General features: G+C 51.9%; 1 protein-coding gene and 1 long non-coding RNA gene across 5 annotated transcripts in view, besides 11 other annotated features; one reads left to right on the top strand and one right to left on the bottom strand.

Moving 5' to 3' along the window:
• ITPRIP (inositol 1,4,5-trisphosphate receptor interacting protein) overlaps positions 1-22,952 on the top strand; it is a 28,766-nt gene extending 5,814 nt beyond the window's left edge. For 2 of the 4 annotated variants that reach the window (NM_001272013.2, NM_033397.4), the window contains one exon: positions 16,588-22,952. In NM_001272013.2, the coding sequence (NP_001258942.1) occupies positions 16,601-18,244 (1,644 nt within the window). In that variant the 5' untranslated portion in view covers positions 16,588-16,600 and the 3' untranslated portion in view covers positions 18,245-22,952. Of the gene's footprint in view, positions 1-3,659; positions 3,788-4,394; positions 4,399-16,587 lie in introns of those variants that run through there. The other 2 variants (NM_001272012.2, XM_005270257.3) reach the window with 2 other exon arrangements.
• Positions 907-1,201: a silencer, noted in NCBI's record as "tiled region #8343; K562 Repressive non-DNase unmatched - State 5:Enh". NCBI's record gives its function as "represses a minimal TATA promoter and a strong SV40 promoter by Sharpr-MPRA in K562 cells {active_cell/tissue: K562}" and the evidence as "EXISTENCE:reporter gene assay evidence [ECO:0000049][PMID:27701403]".
• Positions 1,162-1,807: an enhancer, noted in NCBI's record as "H3K27ac-H3K4me1 hESC enhancer chr10:106090603-106091248 (GRCh37/hg19 assembly coordinates)". NCBI's record gives its function as "activates a minimal SCP1, AML or CMV promoter by ChIP-STARR-seq in primed H9 embryonic stem cells {active_cell/tissue: H9 hESC(primed)}" and the evidence as "EXISTENCE:reporter gene assay evidence [ECO:0000049][PMID:30033119]".
• Positions 1,808-2,453: an enhancer, noted in NCBI's record as "H3K27ac-H3K4me1 hESC enhancer chr10:106089957-106090602 (GRCh37/hg19 assembly coordinates)". NCBI's record gives its function as "activates a minimal SCP1, AML or CMV promoter by ChIP-STARR-seq in primed H9 embryonic stem cells {active_cell/tissue: H9 hESC(primed)}" and the evidence as "EXISTENCE:reporter gene assay evidence [ECO:0000049][PMID:30033119]".
• Positions 3,226-3,275: a silencer, noted in NCBI's record as "silent region_2798". NCBI's record gives its function as "represses an Ori minimal core promoter by ATAC-STARR-seq in GM12878 lymphoblastoid cells {active_cell/tissue: GM12878}" and the evidence as "EXISTENCE:reporter gene assay evidence [ECO:0000049][PMID:35858748]".
• Positions 4,392-5,037: an enhancer, noted in NCBI's record as "H3K27ac-H3K4me1 hESC enhancer chr10:106087373-106088018 (GRCh37/hg19 assembly coordinates)". NCBI's record gives its function as "activates a minimal SCP1, AML or CMV promoter by ChIP-STARR-seq in primed H9 embryonic stem cells {active_cell/tissue: H9 hESC(primed)}" and the evidence as "EXISTENCE:reporter gene assay evidence [ECO:0000049][PMID:30033119]".
• Positions 5,038-5,683: an enhancer, noted in NCBI's record as "H3K27ac-H3K4me1 hESC enhancer chr10:106086727-106087372 (GRCh37/hg19 assembly coordinates)". NCBI's record gives its function as "activates a minimal SCP1, AML or CMV promoter by ChIP-STARR-seq in naive H9 embryonic stem cells {active_cell/tissue: H9 hESC(naive)}" and the evidence as "EXISTENCE:reporter gene assay evidence [ECO:0000049][PMID:30033119]".
• Positions 5,907-9,288, bottom strand: ITPRIP-AS1 (ITPRIP antisense RNA 1). The gene is made up of 3 exons (NR_120622.1): positions 9,082-9,288; positions 8,629-8,714; positions 5,907-6,313 (listed from the first exon to the last, which is right to left on the bottom strand). It is a non-coding gene; the product is annotated as an ITPRIP antisense RNA 1 (long non-coding RNA).
• Positions 7,473-8,201: an enhancer, noted in NCBI's record as "H3K27ac-H3K4me1 hESC enhancer chr10:106084209-106084937 (GRCh37/hg19 assembly coordinates)". NCBI's record gives its function as "activates a minimal SCP1, AML or CMV promoter by ChIP-STARR-seq in naive H9 embryonic stem cells {active_cell/tissue: H9 hESC(naive)}" and the evidence as "EXISTENCE:reporter gene assay evidence [ECO:0000049][PMID:30033119]".
• Positions 8,202-8,932: an enhancer, noted in NCBI's record as "H3K27ac-H3K4me1 hESC enhancer chr10:106083478-106084208 (GRCh37/hg19 assembly coordinates)". NCBI's record gives its function as "activates a minimal SCP1, AML or CMV promoter by ChIP-STARR-seq in naive H9 embryonic stem cells {active_cell/tissue: H9 hESC(naive)}" and the evidence as "EXISTENCE:reporter gene assay evidence [ECO:0000049][PMID:30033119]".
• Positions 13,242-13,743: an enhancer, noted in NCBI's record as "H3K4me1 hESC enhancer chr10:106078667-106079168 (GRCh37/hg19 assembly coordinates)". NCBI's record gives its function as "activates a minimal SCP1, AML or CMV promoter by ChIP-STARR-seq in naive H9 embryonic stem cells {active_cell/tissue: H9 hESC(naive)}" and the evidence as "EXISTENCE:reporter gene assay evidence [ECO:0000049][PMID:30033119]".
• Positions 16,229-16,757: an enhancer, noted in NCBI's record as "H3K27ac-H3K4me1 hESC enhancer chr10:106075653-106076181 (GRCh37/hg19 assembly coordinates)". NCBI's record gives its function as "activates a minimal SCP1, AML or CMV promoter by ChIP-STARR-seq in primed H9 embryonic stem cells {active_cell/tissue: H9 hESC(primed)}" and the evidence as "EXISTENCE:reporter gene assay evidence [ECO:0000049][PMID:30033119]".
• Positions 16,758-17,287: an enhancer, noted in NCBI's record as "H3K27ac-H3K4me1 hESC enhancer chr10:106075123-106075652 (GRCh37/hg19 assembly coordinates)". NCBI's record gives its function as "activates a minimal SCP1, AML or CMV promoter by ChIP-STARR-seq in naive H9 embryonic stem cells {active_cell/tissue: H9 hESC(naive)}" and the evidence as "EXISTENCE:reporter gene assay evidence [ECO:0000049][PMID:30033119]".
• Positions 22,953-24,689: the final 1,737 nt, after the last annotated feature.

The following is a 24,689-nucleotide window of genomic DNA, read 5'->3' as shown; positions in this document are numbered from 1 at the left end:
TGATGCTCTTAACTTGGTGACCTGTGTTTCCGCCACATCTTATCAGGTGATGCCTGCTGCTTCTCCTAAGCAAGGGCTGCCAAATGTCAGCACAGGAGACGAAAGAGGCAGGAAAGGGAGGACTCCCTGCCCTGAAGAAAGATGAAAAACTAGATGATATAGTAGGTGTCTCTGTAGAGGTTTCAGGAATCGCCTTGTCCTTCCACTTGAAGGCACCTGATTAAAGTTTTTGTTTTGTGCAACTAGGCATAACTTCAGGTGCTTTTCTGATGTCCAGCATTTCGGTGGCTAAAGTCATTGCCCTAATTCTTGTATGCACCTAGCTTTTTCAGGTTTATAAATAAAAATTAGAGTATCATTAATCTGCAGAATCCACCGTTATGGATATGACATTGTTCATATAAGTAGAATGGCCTTATTAAAAAAAAATAGTGGCTTCATTTACTGAGCAAAGCCCCATTCTAGGGGTTTACACATATTTATTTCTCCTCCTCACAATGGCCCTTCAAGGTGGGTGTTATCCTAGTTTTACAGGTGAAAGAACAGACTCAGAGGGACTTGCCCCAAACGGACAACAACAGAGAAGAGATTCGAATTTAGATTTGCTCTCTCCCAGGGCCTTGGACTCTTTCTGCCACCTCAGGCGTCTGTCTGGACACTGTAGCCCAGAACACATACAGATGGCATAAAGAATCCCACAAAGTTTTAAGTGTCAATACTGAGAAAACAGCAAGCAGACCACCAACTCCAGGCCTGAGACTTCTGGTCCCTTCCTGCTGTCTCACTCTGATATTAGCAGACCTAGTGAGCTTTGGAGACTCCTTCTGCCAAGAGATTCTGTGAGTGTGGCCTGAGCTATCTGAGGGTGAAAGGAAGGAAAGGCTTTCCCTTCCAGCACTGTTTGCTTTTCTGTTTAATAGGCACAGTAACAACCAGTTCCTGATAATATTCAGAGCACTTTGCAGTCCTCTGCTGGAAGTCCCTAGGAAAAATACAAAGCCCCGCAATTATCAAATGACTCACTTCCAGGTGCATAACACAGTGGGACACTCACTGCCTGGGAAGAGGGGCTCAGCTTGGAAGCAACCCTGGGCTGCTACTGCTTTCTCTCCCTTCTAGGTCATTTCCCTGAAGCTGATGCAGGAGTCCCCCCAACTCTCGCCCCCTCCTCCTGTATCAAAGCAGCAGGGAAGGTGTTGTCATTATTTTGGCCCTGCCCGCTAGTGCAAAACCATGTGCTCATAACATACTGTTCTCATGGGAGCCGGCTTCAATAGCCTCTTAGCAGCAGCCGGGGGACCCGCCTGAAGTTTACGAACGCGTCCTTTGTTTGCTGAGACTTTGTTCCAAAGTTCCCAAGGAGGCAGGGGTGCAGCATGCCTGGGCTGGAGGGTAGGAGAGCAGGGGCTGCCTGGGTCCTACCCCTGTGTGCTGCCCCAAAATGTCCCTAATGTACCCATGCCGCTTCCTGACATTTCACCCCAACACATGCCTACCTGCCAGTGTCAAGAGAGCCCTCACTCCCTTTTTTGCAGAGAAGGCTTTCCATTCCTTTTATCTCAAATAGCCCAGGCCACACTCACAGAATCTTGGTAGAAGGAGTCTCATAAGTTCATTAGGTTTTACTCCCTGCTTCATGCCCACATTTCATCTAGATTGTCACCTACCCTTCCCTAAACAGTCCGGGTGAGGAAAGTCCATAGGTACATGTCTAATGTTTCACAGATACCAGGTCACTGAGCAGCACAGCTCGTGGCTTCATGGGAAGAGTATAGGCTTGAAAGTCAGATAGGTTTGGATTCAGATCCTGGCTCTATGATGTTGGTGAGTGGCCTCACCTCTGTGCCTCAGTTGCCTTATCTGTAAAATGGAGATAAGTGCCTGCCTCAGAGGTTTGATGTGAGAATGATACATGTAAAGCTTTATTGTGCAATGCTTAAGCCTCAATAAATGGGATGCAGTGGTTGTAATTCATTAAACCCTCCCATGGTGTGTCAGGGCCCTGAGGCTTGTCCAGTTTTTTCCTGAAAGAAGAATTACTTCTCTGCTCCTTCTCTTACTCTGTAATCCTCTGTTTATTTCTACAAGAAGCTTGAGCAAGAAGGGAGGTGTCCACGGCAAGGCAGCTGAGGGTCAGAAAACGTGTCAGGGTTCATTCCTGGGCCATTTTCTAAACGTTGGCAGTGAGTCTGCCTGCAGTTACATGAAGGCCAGTCCAGACCAAACGGGGCTGCAACCGTCTCTGTCTCCAGGGCTACGTCTGGAAGGGATTTTGCTGGAAGGGATTTTCCAAGGCACTTACACTGTTAGCACTTTGTTTTTCTGACTGCAGTGCCCCTCCCAGGAAGAAAGAATGTAGAAGTTACTTTATCCAGAGCTTTCCACTTCACTCCAGGAATTTCAAATTCCTGCTCCTGGGAGTAAAGGCAGTGAGGTTCTTTTCCCAATCCTAACTCCATTCATGTATTCAGCAAGCATTCATTATAGCAACTACCCTCTTCCAAAGCTGGGTACTCAGAACCTAATGGAAGAGCTGTCAGTGTCAATGATGCCAGATTGGAGGGAGTAAGGGAGGGTGCTGCTGACCTTCCTAGGTCTCCAAACTTCCTCCTCTTCCTCTGTGTCAGCCCCTGGGGCCTTTAGAAGAAGACAAGGAGGTGGAGGAGACAACTTAGTCATACTCCCCAGGCTTCTGGAGGAGCTGCAGGGATGTTGTTCACCCACTTCTTCCCAGAGGACTCCTTAACATGCAACCATGACGATTTAACAAATCAAAAAGGAGACATGACCGCAGCACCAGTACCAGTGCCAACAGCAGTATCATTTACCAAGCACTGCCGAGTGACTGTGAGATGGTCCACAAGGCCATAAATTGGACACTATTGCCATAGCAAGTTGTAGAGCCAAGATTCAAACCCAGGCCTTCTGATTCCAGAGTTTGACTCCTTAGCAATGGTTCTCTAAGCCTCTGCAAACTGTTAAGCTCTTCTTAGCTGATGAGCTTTGGGCTGTTTCTTTCTCGGTGACAGTAGGAGTGGAAATGAGCCTGTGTGAACTTGACACTATCAGTGGCTGCTTGCTGCCCACCTCAGTCTGACTGACGCACATATGAGTCATGGGTCCATGCATTCAGCAGGCATTATTTGGACACCTACTGGGTGCCAGCACAGCCTCGGTGGAGCACCCGCATCACACCTTATTGCTCCGTCCCTGTGACTAGAAAATGATGTCATAGTAGGGTTGTTTTGTGCAATCCGTAGAGAGTGTGACTCTGAGTAGTCATAGGTACTTCTGGGAGCAATTTTGCTAACTGTTCCTAGCCTTACCATGTGGGCCCTCTGCTCTCCAGAGAGGAGGAGGACTGGTTTGCTCTGACTAACTGGTGTGGGAGGGCTGGCAGAGGCCCGGCTCTATTGTTCAGCCCAGATCCTTGCAGCAGAGCACAAGCAAAGACGCTCTTAATTTTTTTTACAGCTGGGCTGGCCTCCCCTTTGTCTTTGTGTCTGTTACTGTTCCCCTTTATTGAGATGAAAGGGGTTTTTAGATCTTTGCAGGGAGAGTGTGTGTGTGCGTGCATGTGTGTATGTGTGTGTGTGTGTGTGTGTGTGCATGCGTGCAGGAGGCCCACAGCGCTTCTCTTCCTCTCCCCTCCCCGCTCTCCCCAGCCCAGCTGGGGCCCAGGCTTTGTGTCAGGTACCGCCTAAGCCGCAGGGGGACTCGGGTAGAAGAACAGTCTGGGATTTCTTTCACTGTGTGGGGCCTAGAATCTCAGGAAGCCAGGACGTGGGTAAGAGACCAGTGGGGTGGGGAGGCTGAGGTGGGGAACAAGCCTTTCCGAGGTCGTGGACAAGGCCTTGGGGGGTTCATCCTCCCCCATCTCCTAGAGGCAGAGTGTCTTTCTAAGCTGGGCTCTCTTTGTTCCCATCCAGGGGTCAAACAGAAGGTGGCTGCTGGGTGCTGGCCCTTTATTTAATTCCATCCATCCTAGTTTCTCAGTGAAAGGGGGAAAGTGGAAGGGGGCGGGGAGTGGCCAAGGGAGGGCTTTGTTCCCTCCTTGTTTTCCTTTGTGTTTACTCCCGGTTCTGTTCCAGTCCCTTCCCCTTTCCATTGAGTCAGTGTGTCTGCTATTGTGCAGAGCCTGCGTCTAAGCGTGCAGCCTCCCCTCCCTGTCCCACTGAGAAAGTGTGGTTTTGCCTGAACGTTTGTGGCTCTGCTTGGAGGCAGGGGGTGTGTAGATCATGGGGTGGAGAGAGAGAAAGGGGACGACTCTTGGGAACTCTGGCATGTCCTGCCCCAAGGTGGGTATTCATGCTCTCTCCAAACCAGCACCCTTGTGGGTGAGATGCGGCCACAGGGCTAGGGGAAATTCGGAGGAATACGAGCCCAGACCAAGCCAATGTAGGACAACGGGAAGTGGTGAGGGCGCATTGCTGTCACTGTGATTCACGCATAGAAACCGGAGATGGGAATCCTGGAGGCTGAGGGAGACCTTCCCCTGCAGGCTGGCTGTGGGAGAGGCATCCTTCCTGCAAGTGGTGGGCATTTGTGGGGAACTGTCTTGTGAAAGTGGTGCCTCCAGTGCATGGTGTGAGCTGTGGGCCCCCAGGATAGTGTGTGTCCTTAGCACGGAGCGCAGGTCTATGCCAGTTGCTCTGGGGAATGCAAAGACAAACAGGACCCTGCCCTTGCCCTGGAGGAGCTCACAGTGAGGAAGGTGATGGGGCAAGACAAAGACAGAGGCAGCTGTCGGGCACACCAGGGCGACACGGGGCCTGGAGCCAGGCTGTTGTGTGACCTTGAGCACATTGCCCCACCTCTCAGCACCTTGGGCTCCTGCCAGGGACATGAGGCTGATGGCCCCCTCCCCCGGGGTTGCTGCGTGGGTTAAATGCAATAATTCAAGGATAGAGACACATGGGACCAGCCTCAGTTGGGTGCCTGCTGTGTGCCGGTGCATCTACAGAGCCACCTGACCTACATGAGGTACCTGGTGCACTCAGTGGGGCCTAATTCATATGTCCCTCTCCCTCCCCTGTTCTCCTATCCCTTGGAAGAAAGAGGGATTTGTCTTGGGATCCTGGAAGGCTCCTTGGAGGTGGAGTCTGAGATGGGCTTGCTGTGAGGTCAGTTGGGTAGGGTTTTGGCCAGCAGAGGGGTGAAGCATGGATGTTTCCAGGAATGGTGGGGAGGTGCAGGAGCTATCTGGGGGACAGGAGATGATCTGAAGTGGCCGGGCCAGGCAGAGAGGGAACCAAGAGGTCCTCTGAGGCTGGTTGGGCCAGGCCTTGAACATTCTTAAAGCGCTGACTTGTGTCCCATGGAAACAAGACTCCCTTGAAATGGGGAGGGGAGACGTGCAGGGTTGGGGAGCTAACTGGGGGTTTGGAGTGTTAGGGAGAGCTCAGATGAGCTGACCCCAAAGGCCTACGCTGGCCAGCACACGAGAGAGATTCCATCTCACGTGGAATCCCCAGGCTTCGGTGCAGAGCAAAGGCCAGGTCAGAGGTGGCTGGGGAGACTGGAGATACCCCAACAAGAGGAAGGTCAGCGAGGGGAGCTGGCTGGGAGAGAGGAGGGTGCATTGCGCTTTGAGACTGCAGTAGTCTCCTGGGGTGGCCATAACAAGTTGCCACACACCAGGAGGGCTTAAGACAGTGGGCATTTATTTTCACAGTTCTGGAGACCAGGATCAAGGTATCAGGGCCACACTCCCTCCAGATACTCTAGAGGAGAGTCCCTCTTTGCCTCTTCCAGCTCCTGTTGTCTCAGATGATGCTCAGCTGTGGCAGCGTCACTCCCATCCTGGCCTCCGTCTCCCCTCACCTCTCCTCTGTCTCTCTCTTTTGTGTCACTTCATAAGGATACTTGTCATTGGATTTAAGGCCCACCCGGGTAATCCAGGATGATCTCATCTCAAGTTCTTTAATTTAATCACATCTGCAAAGACCCTTTTAGGTCCCATTCATAGGGGCTGGGGATTAGCGCGAGGACGTATATTTTGAGGGCTGCCATTCAACCCACACAGTTGAATGGATCTGAGATGCCCTGGAGGGAACGCGTGGGAGAAAAGGAGGTGTGGGCCAGAGCTCAGGGGTTGCAGGGGAGCCCCCTCCTTGTCTCTGCTACTGTTTTACTCCTTGTAGTCTCTTCTCACTGTCCTCTCCACAACCCAGCCATAGAGATCAGGCGTTTGTCTGTCTGTCCCAAGATGCTGTGATTTCTATGATGTCCTGCTGGAGGAGGCAGGCAGAGTGGCTGGACGGAGGGACACTCTGTCCTTCCTGGGAGAGGATGGCTTCCCTGCCTTCTCCATCTGCTCGCCGAGGGACGTGCATCAGCCGGCGGAGGAGCGGGAACAGGAAGGATGTGGCTCACCCACCCAGAGCCAGCAGAGTCCAGCCCTCTGTCCTTCCTGTGCCTCTGCTGGCTGGCAGACCACCCCCATGACCCAGTCCTGAGAACAGAGTTGGCATTCTGGTGACTTCTTGAAACCGCTCCCTCTCCCGAGAGTGGGCCTTGAGAGCACTTAATGCTTTGGACGGGTGTGAGCAGCACCTCCTGTGAGTCCGGCCAGAGTGTCCACATGCAGACAACAGAGGCTCGCTGGAGCAAAAAAAGGCAGCTTCTGCCCCGCGTGTACTTCCCCACCGGCTCGGTGGTAGGGCCACCTCAGGTGGGCACTGGGGTGGAGCTCTCCCCTCTCTGCTGTCTGTCCTGCTGCCCCACCTCACCAGAGTCCAGACTGACCCCTGGGTGCTTCTGAGCCCAGCATCCCACTCAGTCAGTCTGGGCTCTCCCCTGGGTTAGGGAGGGACAGTTGGGGCTCCTGGGGCCCACAGGCCTTACTCTAATACCAAGCGCTTCTTAGCGCAGCACCATTAGGCCTTTTTGCTTAGGCGAGCCTCTGCTGTCCGCGTGTGCACACGCTGGCTGGACTCGGGGTGCCCGGTTCCACCCACTCGAAGCATTAAGTGTCCTCAAGGCCCATTCTAGGAAGAGGGAGGGACTTAAAAAAAGTCACCAGGATGCCAACCCAACAAAGCCTCTTCTCTCTTTTCTTCTAGTCCTTGCAGAGGCCATGGGGAAGGAAGAAAATCTGCTCTGGCATTTACACTAAGTTCCTACAAGGGCTGGCACAGAGTCAGCCCTCATAAGTGCTGGTTAGGATTATTCCGAATGTGGCTGCTGGGGCCAACGAGGAGACACGGGAGTAATCAGGCCTAGGTTTGGGGAGAAAGGTGGAGCCAGTATTTCAGGGAGTCATGGACTCAGAGGAAATAGTGGGTTTGCTGAGTAGTTGCTGATGGGGTAGGAGTAAGGAGAGTCCTGGGTTAGGGGTTACCTTGAGGAACGCTTCATGGGGGGTTGCAGACCAGAGCCCACAGGCTCTGGGTGGCCACTAACATATTTTATTTCATTTTCTTTTCTTTTCAAGACGAGGTCTCACTGTATCACCCAAGTTGGAGTGCAGTGGCGCCATTTCAGCTCACTGTGACCTCCGCCTCCCGGGCTCAAGCAATCCTCACACCTAAGCCTCCTGAGTAGCTGGGACCACAGGCATGTGCCACCACGCCCAGCTAGTTTTTTTATATTTTTGGTAGAGACGGGGCTTCGCCATGTTGCCAAGGCTGGTCTCGAACTCCTGAGCTCAGGCGATCCATCTGCCTCAGCCTTCCAAAGTGCTGGGAATTATAGGTGTGAGCCACTGCACCCAGTGTTGCTCACATGGTTTTTAAGGAATTTTTGAAATAGCAGCTAACATTTAAAAATGGGGGGATTTTGACAAAGTCCAGATTAGTGGCTTTTCTTTGGGAAAAAAAAGATCTTGTCATTCTGGGTGCACAGAATGTGTGGCGTGGGGACTCGCCCCTTCAGACGAAGCATGTGCCATCCAGTCGACCAGTGTCCCCTCCTCTCAGCTGTCCACTGCAGCCCCGCTCATTTTCCCTGCGGGCTGGCCCTCCCAGACACTTGATTTTACAACCCGGGTCCTCGAGACAGGTGTCTGGAGAGAGGAAGGGAAGGAGCCCAGTGGCCACAGGGTGGCAGGTCTGGGGGAGGTGGGTTGGCCAACATGATGGTCCTGCCCAGTGGGAGAGGGGGCAGATGACTGGACGGGGTCAGGGCTGCAAGGACGCCGAGAAGAAAAGGAAGTGCGGCAAGCCCAGAGCCGCAAACGCACCCTTTCCACCTACTTTCTCAATGATCTTTTTGTTGGTCCTCTTCCTTCCTCTTTCCTCACTTCCTTTCTTTGCCTGTCCCTCCCTCCCCTTTCAGGGCCCAGCCTCCGGCCCCAGTCTGCTCACCTGCCCCTCTATATTCCCTCTCCTGTCCCCATTTGGAGTGCAAGTGAAGAGGGACCCAGCCAGAGATGCCCTGGTGGGAGCAGCTCTGAGACCTTGCACTTGCTGGAGCAAAGCCCTTCTCCTGTCCCACTGTCCTGGAAGGATGGGAGCCAATCAGGCTGAGCAGTGACACATTCAGAGCCATTGTTACTGAGCCATTTGTGCTGTGTCCTCTGTCCTGAGTTAGGCAACAAGGAGGGAGTTGGTGGAGACATGTCACTCCCCAGCTCTATCTGCCACCAGCCACCTCCTCCCAATGTGCAATAAGTCAACTCCTACTTACATGTTGGGAGCCTGCAGTGTGCCCAGCCCCGTGCGTGGTACCCTGGGGGCTGCAGGAGAACATTCAGCTTCTTGACCATGCTGGAACTGTAGGTAGGAAGGCAGGGACCGGTGGGTGACACAGTAAAGAGCAGGAAGGTGGCCTGACCTGCAGGAGTTCCAGGAAGGGTGAGATAGGCCAGATCCAGGGGCAGGTGCCTGGAGAAGGGCCCTGAGCTGGCCTTGTGCTATGGGAAGCTGGTGTCACTGCAGCATGGGGCGTGAGCCCTGCTAGAGAGAAGCATGGAATTGAGGGTGAGACAAGTAGGCTGGGCCATGGGAGGAGGGTTTCACGATGGCTCAGACCGCCCGCCCATGAGTTCCAAACTCTAAAACCAAGACTCAGGGTAGAACTCATGCTCCTTTCTCAAAGTCCTGTTTTTCTAAGGCCTGGGAAGCTCGGGAGACAGCCAACCTGGATAATTTTGGTGGTCACCACTGACAATGATGCTGCAGAGGTACCCCCAGGCAGGGGAAGAGGCAGGACCCACTCAGTTTTCCATCAGTCCCTTGAGGGGTTGGAAGGAGACCAGAGGGAGGGGCAGACTCAGCCTAGGTGCTGCTCACATTCAGCCATGCACTGCAGACTCAGGAATCCTAGAGGCCACCCAGTGACCTTCCCAGAACATCAGTCTTCTTCATCTGTAAGAGAGTTTTAATGCAACTACCTAAATGAGGTTGTGACAATTAAATGACAAAACATATGCAGAGTACTTAGCATCCTGCCTAGTATGGGGTACCTGCTTCCTAAATGGCTGGTCATGTAAACATCTTCACCTTTCACCACCCTTCCCCTGTTCTGTGCTGGAATCACTGCCAGGTGCTCCCTGGGAGGGTCCACGGGATGATACCCAGCCTGCCTCTTCTACTCCACCCACCCTCCAGGCCTAGCATGTCTTCTCTTGAGGCCTCGGTTTCTACCTCTGTAAAATAAAGAAACCTAAATTCAACTCTATATTCTGACTTTCTTAAATATTTGGCTTGATTTCCCCCCAACAACTGTGTACCTCATCAGCTGGGGCTGAGAAACTGCAGCACAAGGCCAGGATACAGAAGGAGTTCAGCCCAAACTCATGGCAGTTTGGGCCTCCCTTGGCTCCTTCTTTCTTGGAGGACCCAGAACCTAGTGAAAGGGACCCAAGTCACCCCCAAGGCCTCGGCTAAAAGTGCCCTCCCCTGCCCTCAGCCAGTCCTTTATTCCATTTCGTAAAGGAAACCTATCAGCTACTCCTTTTGGCTCTGAACGTGACGCCAGGGCCAGGCCTTCTTTTGCTGTTGTAATTAGCAGAGCTAATTGCATCTGTCAGGCTGTGTGCTGGGCAAGCCCTTGGCAATTTCCAGGATGTGGGCTGCTGTGACACTGCAGGAGCCCCACCCTCCTACCCAGAGGACGCCTGGTTTGGGAAGGGATGGTTCTCAGACATAAGCGGGCATTAGAATGACCTAGAGGGCTTGTTGAGACACAGATACTGGGCCCAGCCCTGGCATTTCTGATCAGCGGGTTTCAGGTTGCCTGTGAAAATTTGCATTTGTAACAAGTTGCCAGGTGGCACTGTTGCTGCTAAGCACGTTGAGAACCACTGTCCCAGAGGGAATACCAGGTGGCCAAGAAATGGGTCCTGGGCACCCCTGCTGCTTAAGGCTGTGGTCAGTCAACCCTCAGTGGGAGTAGATGGGCAGTGGGGCAAAAGCGGTGTGATGAACAGGTTGTGGGGCCGGACACATGCTCCTACTGTTCCTGGTTGGTTGTAGTAATTCTGTCTGGAAGGAGAGGAGGAGGTGAAGGTGGAGCCAAGGAGTTGCACACTGACATCTCCCCAACAGGTGAGGGCAGGGAGAGCTCCAGACAGGGAGAGGCCTTCAGAGAACAGGAAGGAAGCTCCCTCCCTCCTCTGCATTTTGCAGCCTGTAGCTCACGTGCCTTTTATGCCCCACATCTCATTCTGTCTGGGGACTCCATACGTAGTGGCTGTCTACCTTCCCGCGTGGATTGTAATGCTTTTGCTACCAGGGGTCAGGCCATACTCATCACTGCAGGCCCTGAAGCATCCATCATGTTCCTCGAGCTCAGTATGTGCTCCGTACATGTAGCACAGTGGAAAAACTTGAGCTTTGCTGGCAAAGACAGACAGAATGAGCTTGAATCTCAGCCCAGCTATGGCTTTTCTAGTCCTGTGGCTAGAAAATGACTTAGCCTCTTGGACTTTGGTTAACCCATCTGCAAAACAGGGATGGCACCCACCTCTTAGAAAGTTACAGTGGTCAAAAAAAAAAAAAAAAAAGAAAAGAAAAGAAACTTACAGTGGTTAGTGTGTGCAGTGCCCAGCACATCCTAGTGAGGGCTCGAGAAATGGGAGAGCTATGGGTGTTAGGCAATGCTTTGTGGTGTTTATTGGATTAAGCTATGGTGGGGAGTGCTGCAGGCTCTGGGGGACCCAGGAGTGAGGGACCCCAGTGAAGGAAGGAAGCCTTGGATTTCTCCCAGGGTCTTGGCTTCCGGCCAGCCTCACAGTAAAGGTCTGAATAAACCACTGGTCCCAGCCAGCCACCTGCAGCCCTCTGTCCGGGCCACCCAGAAGCTTCCATCTTCCCTCAGCCCCTGTTGCCCCGTGACTCCAGCGTTGCCAGGCTAAGTTTAGCTGTGAACTGCATGGGCCGCCCCTCTCTGTGGACAAGGGCAGAGGTGGAGAGGAATTCAGCAGGCTTCCTGGCAAGCAGACAGAAAAAAGCCCGCCAAGTGACCCAGGTTTATTCTCAAAGCCAAACCCACCAGCTGATGTCTCAGACCACAGGTGCGGGAGAGCCTGGTAGAGGTGAGAACTTTGGGCCAAGGCAGAGGTGGACATCCTTGGAATTGGGAGTAGGGGACTCTTTGGGGAGGCATGTGCTGGTATGTGCAAGAACATGCACACATATACACATATCCATGGTTTGTGAGAGGCTCCTCACTACCCGTCCTGTCTCAGAATGTCAGAATGCCCTGTTTCCTTCCCTTTTGTGGACAAGTCAACTCTATACAATATTTGAAGGGATTTATTCTGAACCCATCTGAATGACCAAGGCCTGAGGCACAGTCCCAAGAGATCCTGAAAATATGTGCCCCAGACAGTTGGGTTACAGCTTGATGTTACACATTTTAGGGGGACAGAAGTTACAGGCAGGCCAGGTGCTCACACCTGTAATCCCAGCACTTGTGATCCCAGGCAGATCACTTGAGGTCAGGAGTTCGAGACCAGCCTGGCCAACATGGTGAAAACCTGTCTCTACTAGAAATATAAAAATTAGCCGGGCATGGTGGGGCATGCCTGTAGTCCCAGCTACTCAGGAGGCTGAGGCAGGAGAATTGCTTGAACCTGGGAGGCAGAGGTTGCAGTAAGCTGAGATCCCTCCACTGCACTCTAGCCCAGGCGACAGAGTGAGACTTAGTCTCAAAAAAAAAAAAAAAAAAAATTACAGGCAGACCTCCATCAATGCATGTGTAAGGAATATGTTAGTTTGGTGTGGAAAGATGGGACAACTTGAAGTGAGGGCAAGGAGTGGCTTCCTGGTCATAGGTGGATTCAAAGATTTTCTGACTGGCAATTGGTTGAACGAGTTAAGTTATTATCTAAAGACCTGGAATCAGTAGAAAGGAGTGTCTAGGATAAGGGGTATGGAGACCATGGTTCTTACTATGTAGCTGAAGTCCCAGGAAGCGAGTTTCAGAGACAGGAGATGGTAAGTGTCTGTCAAACCTAAAAAGGTGCCAGACCCTTAGTTCATCTCTCCTGGATCAGGAAGAGGCCTGGAAAGGGAAGGAAATTCTGTACAGAATGTAGATCAGACTCTTAGTTCATCTCTCCTGGATCAGGAGAGACCTGGAAAGGGAAGGAGATTCTGTACAGAATGTAGATTTTCCTGACAATAGGCAGCTTTGCAGGGCCATTTCAAAATATGTCAAAGAAATATATTTTGGGGTAAAATACTTTGATTTCTTTCAGGGCCTGCTATCTCATATGATGCTATATTGGGTTGAAATTCGGTATCTTATTGCTACAGAGTCTGTTTTGTCACTCCTAGGATCTCTGTTTTAACGTTAATGCTGTTCAGTTGTGCCTGAATTCCAGAGGGAGGAGGGTATAATGGGGTTTGTCGGCTCCTCCTTCCCATCATGGCATGAACTGGTTTTTAAGGTTTATTTTGGAATCCTCTTGGCCTGCAGGACATTCTTCTGACCCCTGGGGTCCCCAGGGCAGTGTTTCCTGTGACTGGGTTTGGGAAGGGGAAGTACCAGAGGCTTCAAACTGAACCCCATCTGGTGGGCCCTGAGCGACCACAGCCCTATTATCTGCCTCGGCCTGTCCTATCCCATAGGGTGCTGCAGACAGAGCCAGCCTGTGCAGAGTTTAACAGGGAGCCAAATGACAGCTGGGATCCGATCCGGGGAAGCGGGGAGATGGATTACGTGAGAAAGTGAGTCAGAGGGAACCCCTGACCTGCAGGAGGATCCCAGGCTCTGAAGCCTTCTCCCCTTTGCTGGGGGCCAGGGTGGACTCAGGGGTGTGCCAAGGAGGAGAAATAGCAGTGGAACATCTTGTGCTTTCAGAGCACTTTCGAGCGTGTGTTTACTCCCCATGCCTGGGGCTCAGGCAGGGCTGCTGTGCTCAGCAGGTGAGAAAGCAGAAGCCTGTAGATGCTGAGGAGAGGAGCCTGCCCTGTGCCAGGCACGGTGCTAAGCACCCAAGGTGTATGATCTCACTCACCCGTCCCAACATCCCTGTGAAGGAGGAAGTGTTATTAATTCCTCCTCACAGGGAAAGCGTGGGAGCGCAGAAGCTGTGCGATCCACCCACAGTCACTCAAGGTTAGAACACAGGTCTGCTGGGTCTACAGCCCAGGCCCCCTTTCCTTGCAGTCCTTCCCCAGGCTGGTGCCCTGTTTCCCTGGTGCTTCTGTTGAGTCTTGTCTGTAATCCTACAATTACCAGTGCTACTATGCACTGCCTACATCCTGCCAGAGTTCCTTGTAGGGGCGTCTGCGGCGCACTCCGCCCTGAACCCCAGCAGGCAGGGTCATCTGCGTATTTCCATCCCATCGCAGTTCCTTTCATAAGAAAACTTGCTCAGGAGCAAGCATGTTGCTGAGTGCTTTACATGCATTATCTTGTTCAAGCTTTATAACAGTAGATATGATTATTCTCATTTTACAGATGAAGAAACTGAGGTTCTGGGAAGTGATTTCTCCGAAGTCACCTCCAGTAGGTGCACATACTGGGTTCTGACCCAGTCTTGTCTCCTCTCGAGTCTATCCTCTTTTCCTCTTGCACACAGAGTTGGTCCCTTCAGTTGGTTTGGAGTTCTGAACCTTGCCTGTGCCAGTACAAGGAGGCTCTTACAGCTCCTCCTCCTCTGGCAGGAATGAGGATGTAGCAAGTAGCACCATGAAGTGTGGCGTAGACACAGGGATGGTTCCCAGCCATAGGGCTTGGCCGTGGCCCCACTCACCTGTTCGTGGCATCCTGCACTGAGTTGACAAGGAACCTGGGTAGGTGGTTGTCCGGGCTATTACTGTGACTGGTCAAGGCCCACTGTGTCCAAAGGTGGCTGCCTGTGATCCAGGCAGCTTGAAGGACCCTAAAACCCCCCAAATTATCTCCTAACTGGCTGCTGCCTGATATTCTGCTATGAGTACTCTCCACCTTTATGTTAACTTTCTCACCCATGTTAATCACCCAGCCTCGCAGTTAGTTATGCCTTGGACCCTCCCTGGCAAAACTTTCCGTTGATGTTTCTCTAATGTAGAAACCAGGCTGACCTGTTTCTGCCATTATCCAGCAAGCTGCTCCTTGGCTTGGGGAAGGAAAGCTGGCTCGCTGCCCCCTGCACTTTTTCCTTACCCCACCCACCTTGCAGTGTGACTTCTTCCACTTCATCCTGTCCCCGCTTTCCTCCTCCAGTGGAAACCTGTAAGTGCTTCAGTGCTCACCTCTGAGGCCCACACTGAGAATCCTCAGGGTGGAGGACGGACCTTCTCCACTCCCCAACCCTTGTGGTTCCTGCAGACCTGTCCAGCTGTGTATGGGGTGGAACTGTCTGAGTCACATCTGAGCAGCAAGTTTGTCTAGGCGTGACCAGCAGCCAACTCAGTCCATCTCCATCCTGCCACTTGCCAGGGACAACCTGCAGAGGTATCTTTACCTGGGGACAAATCCCTGTTCCTTGGCACCATTAGGACAAGAATTTCATTGTGCAAATTCCAGGTCGGGCTCAAGCCAAAGGGAATGGGGCTCAGGTTGGCACAGTAGCTCCTATCAGCCAGTGTTAGTGTGCACTAGGGGGTGGTAGAAGGAGCCCTGTGCTCTCAACAATCTCAGGACCTCAACTGATTTGCATTTGGCCATTTGCTTCCTTCATCGAGGTCCCAAGCAAGGAGGGGGGTAGTTCAAGTGTGGAAATAGCAGATTGTTAAGTCCCAGGATTCCTGCTGAGGAGAGGAGAGGGTGTAACTAAGTCTTGCAGCGTAAGACAGTGCCTCTCAGATTTTTATATGGATGGTATTAAAATGTGGATTCCGATTCAGTAAGTGTGGGTGGGGCCGAGATTCTGCATTTCTAACAAGCTCCCAGGAGATACTGCAGCTGCTGGTCCGTGAATCATACTTCGAATTGCAAAGATTGTAGGGATTAGCCTTTCTCCAAAAGTCACTTGAGGCTTAAAAATCCACTTATCCTAGGGGAACAGAGTGCCTCCTTTCACAATTAAGAAGTTAGATTTAAAGTTCACATGCCTGGTAAGAAGAAATTAGTGATTCTTTGCTCTCTGGTCATCATCAAGATTGTCCTGGGGAAAGACAAAAGCCAGGAGAGTGTGTCTGAATATGGGGTAAGGTCTTCCAGGTCAGAAAGAGACGTTTACAGAAGAGGAGGATAAGGGCTCAAATCTACTTCCGAAACAGTTATTGTTCAGTGAATATGTGCTTTGCACTGGTCACTGGGCCATGCAGTTTGCAGGGATCATTGCGTCTCTCAATACCATGACCCTGTGAGATACTATTGCTTTCCCCTTGTGCAGTAAGGAAACCAGGGCTCAGAGAGGTGTGTTAACATGCCCAGGGTCACACAGCTTTTCAGTTGACAGTGCTGGTTTGGAACCTAGCCCTTTCTCCCTTAACCACTAGGCTTCACTGTATTGCAGGAAGATGACATTCACTTGGGAGAGAAGGGGATATGTTATTCAGGACTATTTTGATTTCAAGTGGTGGAAAGGCCACTCAAACTGACTTAAAAAGGGTTTCTTTATTGACTTGTGTGACTAAAGAGCTCAGACAGCAATGCCTTCAAGCAGAGCTGAGTGTGGGGAGGGGGGGTTCTGCTTTCCTCTATGTTGGTGTCTTTCTCAGGCGGGCTCCCTTCCCGAGAGCCCACTGCAGGTATAATCCTGTTCCCTCAGCAACCTAGCAACCAAACTAGCAACAGGATGAGTCTTTCTTCCTATTGGGCCCAACACACCCTACATCTGTCTCTCATTGGCCCGAATTGGATCAAATGCTCATCCCAGAACCAATCGCTCTAGCTGTAGCTGGGCGGCAGAATGTCTGATTGTCTTGGGCCTGGGTTTTGAGCCCACCCCAGGAGCTTGGAGGTGGGTATATCCTCGCCCTGGCCATAAGGACTGGTAGGAGAAAAGGGTTAGGGACAGTGGGGTGCTGCTGCCATCCAGGAATGTCTGGGTAGGACTAAAACAGATGTCCACCCCAGGGTAGGCCTTTGGGGCTCTTCCATGGCTGGACTGAAGCTCCTGAGGCAGCCGCAGGGAGCTCTCGATGGGTTGGGTGGGAGAACTAAGACCTTAACCAGCCCTGAGGGGCTGAGGTTGGTGCGGGGCCCAGGGACGAAGTGGCATTGAGGGAAGCTTGGTGTGACCATCTGTCTCTCTGTTCCCAGGAAAGCTCCAACCATGGCCATGGGGCTCTTCCGCGTGTGTCTGGTGGTGGTGACGGCCATCATCAACCACCCGCTGCTGTTCCCGCGGGAGAACGCCACAGTCCCCGAGAACGAGGAGGAGATCATCCGCAAGATGCAGGCGCACCAGGAGAAGCTGCAGCTGGAGCAGTTGCGCCTGGAGGAGGAGGTGGCTCGGCTGGCGGCCGAAAAGGAGGCACTGGAGCAGGTGGCGGAGGAGGGCAGGCAGCAGAACGAGACACGCGTGGCCTGGGACCTCTGGAGCACCCTCTGCATGATCCTCTTCCTGATGATCGAGGTGTGGCGGCAGGACCACCAGGAGGGGCCCTCACCTGAGTGCCTGGGCGGTGAGGAGGATGAGCTGCCTGGGCTGGGGGGCGCCCCCTTGCAGGGCCTCACCCTGCCCAACAAGGCCACGCTTGGCCACTTTTATGAGCGCTGCATCCGGGGGGCCACGGCCGATGCAGCCCGTACCCGGGAGTTCCTGGAAGGCTTCGTGGATGACTTGCTGGAAGCCCTGAGGAGCCTCTGCAACCGGGACACCGACATGGAGGTGGAGGACTTCATTGGCGTGGACAGCATGTACGAGAACTGGCAGGTGGACAGGCCACTGCTGTGCCACCTTTTCGTGCCCTTCACACCCCCCGAGCCCTACCGCTTCCACCCAGAGCTCTGGTGCTCCGGCCGCTCAGTGCCCCTGGATCGCCAGGGCTACGGCCAGATCAAGGTGGTCCGCGCCGATGGGGACACATTGAGCTGCATCTGCGGCAAGACCAAGCTCGGGGAAGACATGCTGTGTCTCCTGCACGGCAGGAACAGCATGGCGCCTCCCTGCGGCGACATGGAGAACCTGCTGTGTGCCACAGATTCCCTGTACCTGGACACGATGCAGGTCATGAAGTGGTTCCAGACGGCCCTCACCAGAGCCTGGAAGGGCATCGCCCACAAGTACGAGTTCGACCTGGCCTTTGGCCAGCTGGACAGCCCGGGGTCCCTGAAGATCAAGTTCCGTTCAGGGAAGTTCATGCCCTTCAACCTGATTCCTGTGATCCAGTGTGATGACTCGGACCTGTACTTTGTCTCCCACCTTCCCAGGGAGCCCTCTGAGGGCACCCCAGCCTCCAGCACAGACTGGCTCCTGTCCTTTGCTGTCTATGAGCGACACTTCCTCAGGACGACACTAAAGGCACTGCCCGAGGGCGCCTGCCACCTCAGCTGCCTGCAGATAGCATCCTTCCTGCTCTCCAAGCAGAGCCGCCTGACCGGTCCCAGCGGGCTCAGCAGCTACCACCTGAAGACGGCCCTACTGCACCTCCTACTCCTCCGGCAGGCCGCCGACTGGAAGGCGGGGCAGCTGGACGCTCGTCTGCACGAGTTGCTGTGCTTCCTGGAGAAGAGCTTGCTCCAGAAGAAGCTCCACCACTTCTTCATCGGCAACCGCAAGGTGCCTGAGGCCATGGGACTCCCTGAGGCCGTGCTCAGGGCCGAGCCCCTCAACCTCTTCCGGCCCTTCGTCCTGCAGCGAAGCCTTTACCGTAAGACACTGGACTCCTTCTATGAGATGCTCAAGAATGCCCCAGCGCTCATTAGCGAGTATTCCCTACATGTCCCCTCAGACCAGCCTACCCCAAAAAGCTGACGTCTTTTACAGAATGTGGGATCCTCGAGCTAAGATGAGGGCATCCCTCACGTTCACACCCCTGGTGGCATCTGCCAGCCCTGTTCTGGGGACAAGGCGGGCTTTCGTGGGAGCCGTGCTCAGCCTGCCAGGAAGCCAAGCCCTACAGTGCAGAGGAAACAGAATTTCAACGGGAAGCTGGTTTGCTTCATACCATTGGGATCTGCTGGTAAAGCTGTTATTTGGGTTTAGGGACTGATCCCTTGCAGTTTACTTCTGGATCACCATGAATGGCCAAGATGGTGGCAGAACACGCTGTGGACCCTGAGTTAGAGACAATGCAAATGTTGGATTGGGTGTAATTCTTTTTGAATCCCAGATCCAGTCTGTACTTGAATATGAGCAGAGGATCTACAAGAATGCTGACAGGGAACCGTGTTAAGACCCAGCACCCCTATTCCCAGGAGCTTCTGGCCTGACCATCTGCAGCCAAAGCACTAACAGGGACAGATATGGGAATGTCCACCTTTGATCCGCATCCTGCACAATAGTGGTCCCACCATGGCTGCCACTTTTTTATACTATTTGGAGAAAAGACCTTGTATAAATTCGAGGCCCAAATGACTAACGTCTCTGTCACACGGAAATGGGTACTTGGTGGCATAGAGAAACACAATTAGCCACTTTTTCAGCTACACTTCTCACTCAGCTGCACCCTACACTTCTCACTCAGGTGCACCCCCTTCTGCTGTCCTTTCCCCAACGTACTGGGTCCCGAGCGTGGTGGGTATTTGCCACACTGGGTGCCAGCTCAGCAGCCCCCCACCTCTCTTTATTCTCTCCAAAGCTGGTCTTTCTGACTATCATTGTGGTAGGGGGAGGACAGATGCTAAAGGTGGAAGCTGACCTGGAGAAAGAGACACACGGGGTGACTGTGGCAAAGGACAGCTGGAAAAGAAACTCTATCACTTCTTCATTGGCAACCACAAGGCACCTGAGGCCATGGCACTCCCAGAGGCTGTGCGCAGAGCCAAGCCTCTCAACCTCTTCTGGCCCTGCGTCCTGCAGCGAAGTCTCTGCTGTAAGACAGTAGACTCCTTCGATGAGGTGCTCAAAAATGCTACCCGGGGTGGTGGTGTCTGGCTTGCAGTCTGGCCCAGTTCAGAGAAAGTTGCAGAGATCAGGGGCCAAGGATGTCATAGCCCCAGGTTGTCCTCAGGGTCCCAATCCTAGGGCAGGGTGTGCATGGAAGCAAGAACTATGGAAACCTAGCTCCAGTCTGCAGGCTCTGAGCCCCTAGTTCCTCACTCCAGCGGGGCTCCCTCACTGCACAGAACCCACCCCTTCTGTGTGGGCACTGCTGACCACACAGATGACCCAGACCCAAAGAGCCTGGCAGAAGCTCTGTGGTTGGAGCTGGGCTCCGTCTCCAGGTCTGGTTCAGGGGGATCAGGAAGGCTCTTTTCCACCTGTGGCTTCACTGGCCCTTTGAGATTTCCTATCTCACCGTTACTTCAGTTACCCTTGCAGGGGGCCAGGGAGTCAAGAATATACCGTGTTCCTCCAGGGTTTAAGCCGGCCATGCCTTCCCGAGAGCATAACCAACTTGACAGGGGTGCCCAGTTACCCCACAAACTGAAGGAAGGAGATCCTTCCCCCATCCCCAGGAGTGCTCTCAACCAGCCTCAGAAAGCTTGAGAAGATGGACCCTTTGCCCACCAGGGTTAATTCCTGGTGGGGCAGCTCGGCTGTGATCAGGGCAACCAAACCTATAGGAAGCCTTCCAGTGTGAGCTGGAATTAGACTGAACATGTGCTTGGGCCTGCCTCTCCCTAGACGCAGTTGCGGGGCACTCCAGGGAATGAACCAGCTCAAGTGTGTCCCTAACAGCAGCCTGGAGCTACCCCCAATCCCTCACAGCCTGACCCTCCTCATTCCATCAGATGCATTTGTAGAATCGGGGCAAATTTCCTTATTTATTTATGGCCCATGCCTTTCCCCCTCTTCATCCTGATCCCGTTTTGCTTTGAAGAGACCCCAGTAACCAAAAAACAGCCTCCAGAAGCCAAAACCATGCCTGGATCTCCCATAGCTTCTCCTTTGCTTCCAGGAGAAAGTTCACTGAAAAAAAAATATCTTCTGGCTTCTTGTGTGTACAGAGACAACAGAACTCGGTGGGGAAACGGGAATCTTTTCTGCACCAAAGCTGCTTCTAAAGCAGAAAGCAGTGGGGCTCTTGGTGTTTCATGCTGCCTTATTTATATTAAAGGAAGAATTAAATCTTGCAAGGAGTAGAAATGGTCACTGTTTGTTTTTAACTTCAGGAAATCTGTGAGGCTCCCAGGGCAGAGTTGGGGACAGGGGGGTGGATTTCCTATTGACAAAGCAGAAGCTTTCACTCCCTTTTTATTCTTACACTTTCAGGAGACTTTAAAAAATAACAAAACAGAACATTTCTACCCTGTCTTTGAGGCAACTTGTGTGCTGCCCGCAGGGCTCCAGAAAGGGCCTTTGAAAGCTGGCTGTAGGGTGGATTCCAGCCTAAGACCTTATTTCACAGAGCTAATGTCAGCGAGAAATATAGGAGCTGGAACTAACAGGAAGCTTTTGGGTTTTAAAGAAAGAGATTGTATTTTAAATAGAGGATTTTGAGTCCTCTAGGGGACTTTGGCCTTTCCACTAAGGACAACCCTGCCCTCTTTCCCCAGAGTCTCTTTCCCAAGGATGCTTGACTTTCCCCAGCAACTGCTCACTTGCTTTGCAAAATAACAAGGGTGAAATGAATAGAGTTGGCCCCTAGGCCAAGAGGCTGGTTATGTTGGGGAAGGGCCTTATATCCTCAAAAGCTCTAGCCCCTCTGCATGCCTGGCTGAAGCACAGCCCCCGTTGAGAACCTGGGGGTGGAGCTCTGGTTCATCATCAAGGGTGTCATCCGAATCACCCAGACAACCTGGTCCATTGCCCCGACCCCGCCTTGAACCTACATGGTGCTCAGAATCCAGTCTGGAGTGGTCAGGCTAGGCTCGATTTTTAAAGATTTCCCCCAAGTGACTGATGGTACCCCTAGCTGAGGAAGCCCTCTCACTTTCTTTCTTAATGGAAAGTTAAAGAAAACCCAAGTGGACTACTTTCCCTACAGATCTATTGGAAGATAGATAGACCTGGGAAAAGCCAATGAGCCTGCTTGGAATCTGTGGTCTAAGTGGCATCAGCTACACCACAAGCTTCTCATGAGGGCACCCACATTCACGCTAGTGCCGTAAGCCTCAGAGAGAGGGTGGGAAGGCATAAGATGGTGAGCCCTTCTCCCAAGCAGGTCATGAATAGTCCACAAGCATTTGTCAGGAGCCTAACGTGCATGAGACATTGTGGAAGATGGGAAAATGAATAGGACCAAGCCTGTTCCCTAGGAGAGGCAGCAGAAGGTGGCCTTCCAAGTACTGAGCTATTCCAAGTGTGACCCTGCACTACACATACGGGTGTCACCTGGGGGCAGCTTCCTGGGCCGTGTCACAGACTCCAGTGGGATCCTGAGAAGTTAGGTAGAAGAATCTGCACTTCACCAAGTTCCCCACCTGATTCTGGATGTCCAAGAACCACTGGTACCTGGGCTGATTAGGGAAGGCCTCATGGTGGGGCGCTGCCAGATAGAGACTCTGAAAAATGACCAGGACTGTGGCCAGGAAAGACATTCCAGCCAGAAGCATGGAGTGAGGGTGGGAAGCACCTACTGTATGGCAGGCACCGTTCCGCACACACATTTGTTAATGCACACAGTTCCATGTCAGTCCTATGATGTAGGTGCTATTCTTATCCTCCCTGCTTTCCAGATAAGGAAACAGGCACTGAAGGGGCAACTGACTTACCTACTGTCACAGTGGTAAGTAGCACAGCCCAGATTCCAACCCAGGCAGTCCTGGTGTACATGTTGGCATATACTGAGAAGTCGTAGCAAATGAGGTTGAAAAGATAAGAGTGGGGCTGAACCATGCAAAGCCTTGAATGCTAATACAAGGTAAATTTGGACCTCACAACAAGCAGAGGTGGGCCATTGGCGGGTTTTGAGTGAGACAGTAACTTGATTCACCCCCAAACTAAGGAGTCCTTATCTATGTGATCAGTGCCATCCATGTCCTGTGCTGTAGGGTACATGGCCGGCTTCCCGAGCAGGGTTGGTGGCAGCTGGCAGTGGTTGGTGAATGTCCAGGAAGTCTTAACTCAAGCCACCCCAAGGCTGTGATTCAGAACATTTTCGTGGTCCGTCTCATCTCCACCTCACGGGACAGAGCTGGAAGGCTGTTTGGTTTGGCCAGCGACCGAAAGCAGAGGGAGCCAAGAGTCACAGAGTGAAGGGCAATGTGTGCCTTCAACAGGGCCCTCCCTCTCCGCCCCACTCTGCCTTGCCCCACCCCTGTCCCTGGGAAGGGCATCTTTTAGAGTTAACTTTTCTCATTGCCATCCAAAAATAGCTTGCTTGTTTAACTAGTTTGTTGTTTAAAAAATAAACATAAAAGCAATAATACAGTCATAATTTTAAAATTCAAGTACTAACAGGAAAATTAAGTAACAGACTAACGGTCCCACTTCTGACTTCTTAGTCCACTCCCCAGAGATAACCAATATGAAGTTTTTGGTGTATCCTTCCAAAATTTTTCTGTGTATGTGTCACATGTATGTATATATATATGCATCCTTTTAGTCCTTTTTTACATAAATGGCATCATACCGACTAATTCTTCTTGGTTATCTTTTTGAACATTTGGCTCTACCTTATTCTTTAAACTAGCTGCTTACTGGCCGAGTACATTAGCTCACACCTATAATCCCAGCACTTTGGGAGGCCAAGGCAGGAAAATCGCTTGAGCCCAGGAGTTTGAGACCAGCCTGGGCAACATGGCAAACCTTGTCTCTACAAAAAATATATAAATTAGCCAGACATGGTGGCGTGTACCTCTAATCCCAGCTACTCCGGAGGCTGGGGTGGGAGGATTGCTTGTGCCTGGGAGGCAGAGGCTGCAGCGAGCCGTGATCACTCCACTGCACTCCAGCCTGGGTGACAGAGTGAGTAAGACCCTGTCTCAAAAAAAAAAAAAAAAAATATATATATATATATATATATATATGGCTGCTTACTATCTCACTGTCTGTATGCATGTACCATAATTTACCCAACTTTCCCTACTGAGGAACACTTAAGTTGTCTCCACTTTTTGCTGTTATAAACAACACTCTAGTGAACGTCTCTGTGCACAAATCCTGTTTTGAAATGATCCTTCCTCTCCCAGTAATCTCCATATTCTGTACTTGCTGTATGTGGATTCACCACCAGCATCTTATTATAAAAATAACCATTGCCTGGGATTTAGTCAATCATCGTTGAATAAATTTTGAATCAACAGTGAGGAAAAGGTGTTTGACCAAGTACTGAGCAAGAGCATGTGATCTGCCTAGGTCCGGCTCTATGTGGGGAACAAAAGTATAAGATGGGGGCTCTGTCCCCAAGGAACTGGGTCTAATAGGAAGACTACCAATGGCTGCAAAGTAAGTCAGAGATCAATGAAGTGTGGTAAGTAATTGAAAGTGAAATTGTGTGGCTCTGAAGCCCGCATGAGCGGAATGTGAAAACAGATCAGCTTTGAGTTTCAGCTGTAACCTCTTTTGCTCCCTTACAGATGGGAAACTGTGAAGAGCCTCCCCAAAGAAAATCAAATCCACGTAATTGTTCTGTCTCTCAAATGCTTGTACTCACTCCATTCATCTGAGCCCGGGTCTGGTTTATTTCCTCCTGCACAATGTGGGGCCCTCCTTTACAGGTAAAAATGGCATTTTCCACCCTTTGATGTTTCTCCACAGCCCCACAAAGAAACCAGAAAATAAAACTGTCAACAACAAATTATCTCTCAGAAAGAGGGAACCACATAAACCTCAGAGATGTTCAAAGACATTTCTTCTTGATGGGAATAGGTGGGCCTCAAAAGTGTGAAGTGAGAGTTGTAGCACAGCGGTGGGTTAGGGAGTCTGGAAGAGTTTCGTCCCATCTGTTTCTTTCAAACCCACAGGTCAGTGATATTTTAGGTTTCTTTTGGAGCAACTTTATTTAAAGTAGAAATAGCAAAGACCCACACCCCGTTTCTTCCCATTAGCTGCCCTTGGCTATCTTCCCAACTGCCCAGAGATGACGCCCATAGCCCCCACAGCCTTGCTGCCACGAAGAAGGCTTTCTTCCTGAAGAAAGGACCGGGCTATGTTAGACCAAAGGTCTCCTGGGACGATGGCCTTGCATCTCTTCCAAAAGGCATGGCTAGTGCTGAATCAAGCCCCCCAAGGGTCTGGAAGGTGTAGGTCAGCCGCCAGTTCTCCCAGCCAAGGACAGTGAGTCAGCCCATACATACCCCATGTACTCCCACCCCAGGAATCAGAGCCAAGTGAGACTAGAGCTGGTGCTGTATGTAGAGCCAGATTCAGG

This window comes from Homo sapiens, chromosome 10 (genome assembly GCF_000001405.40).
Source record: "Homo sapiens chromosome 10, GRCh38.p14 Primary Assembly".
Classification (NCBI taxonomy): domain Eukaryota; kingdom Metazoa; phylum Chordata; class Mammalia; order Primates; family Hominidae; genus Homo; species Homo sapiens.
This window is presented reverse-complemented; position numbering and strand designations above follow the sequence as displayed.